Below are 4591 nucleotides of genomic sequence, written 5' to 3'. Positions count from 1 at the left end.
GAAACTCCACCATAAGTTAAGGAGCATCTGTACACAGGCATACTGACATATATACAGAAGTTCCTCTAAGATGCATCCTCTAGAGACAGGGTTCTACTAGGAGATACCAAGATTCTTTCAGGGGGCATCTTCAAGGTCAAAACTATTTTAGTAATAATACACAGATGTTATTTGCGTTTTTCTCTGTGTTGACATTACATTGCTGGTGCAAAAGCAATGGTACATAAAAGGGCTGTAACCTTAGCCGGAAGCAAGGTAATAGCACTAAATTGTGCTAGAAAGTTGTATTCTTTATCACTTCACACTCACTGTTAAGGAAAATTCCAGCTTCATTTAAGATTGCACTTGATGAAACAGTAAAAGCTATTAATTGTGCTAAATCTCAACTCTTGAATACACTTTTTTAAAACTTTTATTTTAAGTTTGGGGTATATGTGCAGGTTTGTTGCATAGGCAAACTTGTGTCCTGGTGGTTTGTTATACAGATTACTTCATCACCCAAGTATTAAACCTAGTATTCGTTAGTTATGTTTCCTGATCCTCTCCCTCCTCCCACCCTCCACCCTCCAGTAGGCCCCAGTGTGTGTTGTTCCCCTCTATGTGTTCTCATCATTTAGCTCCCACTTACAAGGCAAGTGGATCGATGAAGTGTGGTATATCCACATAATGGAATACTATTCAGCAATGAAAAAATGAAATACAGCTATATGAATACATAGAATATTGTCATCAATGTGATATTATAAAAATTTGCAAAATCAAATGAACACATGGAATCTTGTTCCATACATGTAAATATGTAATCTTAAAAATAGCTAAAAGAAAACTATTATGCTGGGCACAGTGGCTCATGCCTGTAATCCCAGAACTTTGGGAGGCACAAGGCAGGCAGATCACCTGAGGTCAGGAGTTGGAGACCAGCCTGACCAACATGGAGAAACCCCTTCTCTACTAAAAATACAAAATTAGCTGGTCATGGTGGTGCATGCCTGTAATCCCAGCTACTCAGGAGGCTGAGGCAGGAGAATCATTTGAACCCAAGAGGCGGAGATTGCGGTGAGCCAAGATCGCACTATTGCACTCCAGCCTGGGCAACAAAAGTGAAACTCCATCTCAAAAAAAAAAAAAGAAAAGAAAAAGAAAACTACATAACTAATAGCAATAAAAAGAAAAGTGAGCGCAAAATTATCAAAAAGTTAGAATGTTACTGACTTCTGGAGGGAGGCATGGATTATTACTGGGGAAGCCACATGCAGGGGATTCTGAAATATTGTGTATGTTTCATTTCTTGACCTATATGACTACTTTAAGATGAATCTTAACATCTACTTCTGAAACTATTCAGAAGCTTTTTTTTTTCCATTCAGATGAGTAATATGCCGATGTTGTAACAAGGAGTGAGGGAGGCACATCTTATACACGAGCCTGAAAACCCAGTCCTCACACTTATGAACTACAAAAGGATCTAGAAAGTAGCTTTTCAAGCAGTAAACAAAGATTCAATTTGTGGTATTGTTTTAATTAAATTGGATCATCAGCTTGACCAGATTTCCCAAAGAGGAAGTAATCCTTTCCTTGTATTAGTTTCGATTAGTGAGGAAGGAACCTTAATAACTTGGCAACATCACTAAAACTAGGACCTTTTTTTTTTTTTTGAGTCAGAGTCTTGCTCTGTCGCCCAGGCTGGAGTATAGTGTGGCATGATCTCAGCTCACTGCAACCTCCGCCTCCTGGGTTCAAGCGATTCTTCTGCCTCAGCCTCCTGTGTAGCTGGGACTACAGGCACACGCCACCACGCCTGGCTAATTTTTGTATTTTTAGTAGAGACAGGGTTTCACCATATTGGCCAGGCTGGTCTCAAACTCCTGACCTCGTGATCTGCCTGCCTCAGCCTCCCAAAGTGCTGGGATCACAGGTGTGAGCCACCGCACCCAGCCAACACTAGGACCTTTTGCTGGCAAAGTGAGCATCTATTTAGTACCAGAACTGCGCAGTAAGGTGAACAGAGAAAAAGGTAACAGCTAAAAGTACTGAGAAATCATTGTTCCCATACTCTAATGTAAAATGTTAAAATTTGACTCCTCCACATTTTTAACTGTTTATGCCGAGCTAATTTTAGTGTTTTGAAAAGTTGTAAAAATGGTACAGCAAATTCCTGCAAACCCTTCACTGAACTTCCCTAAAGTTACTCTCTTATATAACCACAGCATAATGTTCAAAACCGGGAGATGAATATTGGTGCAATACTGCTAATTTCACCATATGTTTTAAAAATAATAAATTATTCAGAATCCTTTTATATAATTCGTGGTCATTCGGATTTTCTTTTTGTGAAGTTTGCTGCTATTAATGTGTGTGTCCCTCTCTACTCATATGTTGAAATTGAATCACAATGTGATAATATTAGGAGATGAGGCATTTCAGAGGTGATGAAGCAATGAGAGTAAAGCCCTCATGAATGGGACTGGGACCTTTAAGAAAAAGGCCCCAGAGTTCCCCTTCAACATGTGAGGACACAGCCAGAAGTCCTCATTTCTACAAACCAGGAAGTGGGCCCTTACCAGACACCTAATCTGCCAGTGACTTGATCTTGGACTTCCCAGCCTCCAGAATAGTGAGAAATAAATTTCTCTTGTTTCGAAGTGGTATTTTGTTTATTTGTGCTACTTTCTTAACAGCAGCCTGAATGGACTAAGGTATAAACTCAGATCATTAGTGAATTTTTCTATTGAATTGTCTAATATTTTTCTAGTTACATTTATAGTTCCCTTATAATCTTCATTCAATGAGAATTATTTTCAAAATATTTATATATTTATTTTAAATAACAATGATAAACCCCTCCCCGACCTTTTCTTTTGAGACAGAGTCTCACCCTGTCGCCTAGGCTGGAGTACAGTGGCGAGATCTCGGCTCATTGCAGCCTCCACATCCTGGGCTCAAGCGATTCTCCTACCTCAGACTCCCTAGTAGCTGGGACTACAGGTGTGTGCCACCACACCTGGCTAGTTTTTAAATTTTTCGTGGAGATGGAGTTTCACCATGTGCCCAGGCCAGTCTCCAACTCCTGAGCTCAAGCGATCTGCTCATCTCAGTCTCCCAAAGTGCTGGGATTATAGGCGTGAGCCACCACATCCGGCCCCAATGCATGTTATATGTTAATTGTTAACACAATTAATATATTTAAAGAAAAATGCCTACATTTTCAAAAATGAAAATCAATGTAAAGACTGACATTGCTTTACATTTTTTGCAAATCTCTTTCATATCTGGCTTAAGGGAAATTGATTTTACCTAGCTGCTTCTTTGTTCAATTTGTTGTGATTTTTAAACATTTGTCCTGTACTCAGTGGTGTTGGCAAACCAAAGTTACTCAGCCATTATCAGATTGATGGGCATTAACGTTATTTCCAGTTTTGCTGCCACGAATAATGCAACAATTAACCTACTTGTATATTTACCTTCTGTAGTGCTGCTTTTGTTTCAATAGGGTAGATTCTTAGGAGGTGGATTTTGAGATAAAGTGAATGTGTGGGAGTATTGCTAATGGATGATCCAAAATTGCTTCTACATGTAAGGGTACTCTTTTCGTCACCCCCATGCCAACTTAAAGGTGCTCACATTTCCTCAGATCCATGCCAGCTTAAGGGTGTTATAATTTTTCCAGTTCATAGGTGTAAGATGACATTTTATTTTGACTCAAATAAGCACTTTTCAAACCGCTGGTTAATTTGAGCAGTTGTTTCATGTTTAGCCTTTTGGATTTGCTTTTCTGTGAATTCTCTAATCACATTCTTTGCTTGTTTTCTATTGGAATGTTTGTCTTTTTTAAAACAAATTCAATTTGTAAGAGTTCTTGCTGGAATATAGATCTTGGCTTTTATCTGCCATATATATTGAAAAATTTACCATCCCTGACCCCTTAGTGCACTGATTTTGTTTTTGGTACATTTTACCATACAAAATTTTTTTATATTCACATAGTCATTTATGACCACTCTTTTTCTCCACAGCTTCTGGGTTTCTTCTCTTGGCTAAGAAAGTTACCATCACAGCCACATCGTCTCCCTCCCTCCCTCCCTTCCTTCCTTCCCTCCCTCCTTTCCTCCTTTTCTTCCTTCCTTCCTTTCCTTTCTCTTTCTTTTTCTTTCCCTTCCCTTCCCCTTCCTTCCTTCCATCCTTCCTCCCTCCCTTCCTACCTTCCCTCCTTCCTTCCTTCCTCTCTTTCTCCCTCCCTCCCTCTCTCTCTTTCTCTTTCTTTCTTTCTTTCTCTCTCTCTCTCTTCTTTTCTGTGTAGAGACAGGGTCTCCCTATCTGCCCAGGCTGCTTTTGAAATTCTGGGATCAGGTAGTCCTCCCACCTTAGGCTCCCAAATTGCTAGGATTACAGACATAAGCCCCCACATCTGGCCTCTTTCCTACATTTTCTTCAAATTCTTTCATGTCTTTTCTTTTTGTATGTTTAAGCCTGGCATGTATTTTTGTATATAGTCTGAGATGAGATAGAAGTTCAATTTTATTTATTTTTAGATGGGCCAGGTTTGCCAAGCCCATTTAAGTTTAAATTAATTACAGTGAAACAACACTGAAAA

At 39.3% G+C, this 4591-nt stretch overlaps 1 non-coding gene across 1 annotated transcript; it reads right to left on the bottom strand.

Moving 5' to 3' along the window:
* Positions 1 to 1361: 1361 nt before the first annotated feature.
* Positions 1362 to 1465, bottom strand: LOC124904796 (small nucleolar RNA U13). The gene has a single exon (XR_007067379.1). It is a non-coding gene; the product is annotated as a small nucleolar RNA U13 (small nucleolar RNA).
* Between the last annotated feature and the right edge of the window lie 3126 nt (positions 1466 to 4591).

Source organism: Homo sapiens, chromosome 19 (assembly GCF_000001405.40).
Source record: "Homo sapiens chromosome 19, GRCh38.p14 Primary Assembly".
NCBI lineage: Eukaryota > Metazoa > Chordata > Mammalia > Primates > Hominidae > Homo > Homo sapiens.
This window is presented reverse-complemented; position numbering and strand designations above follow the sequence as displayed.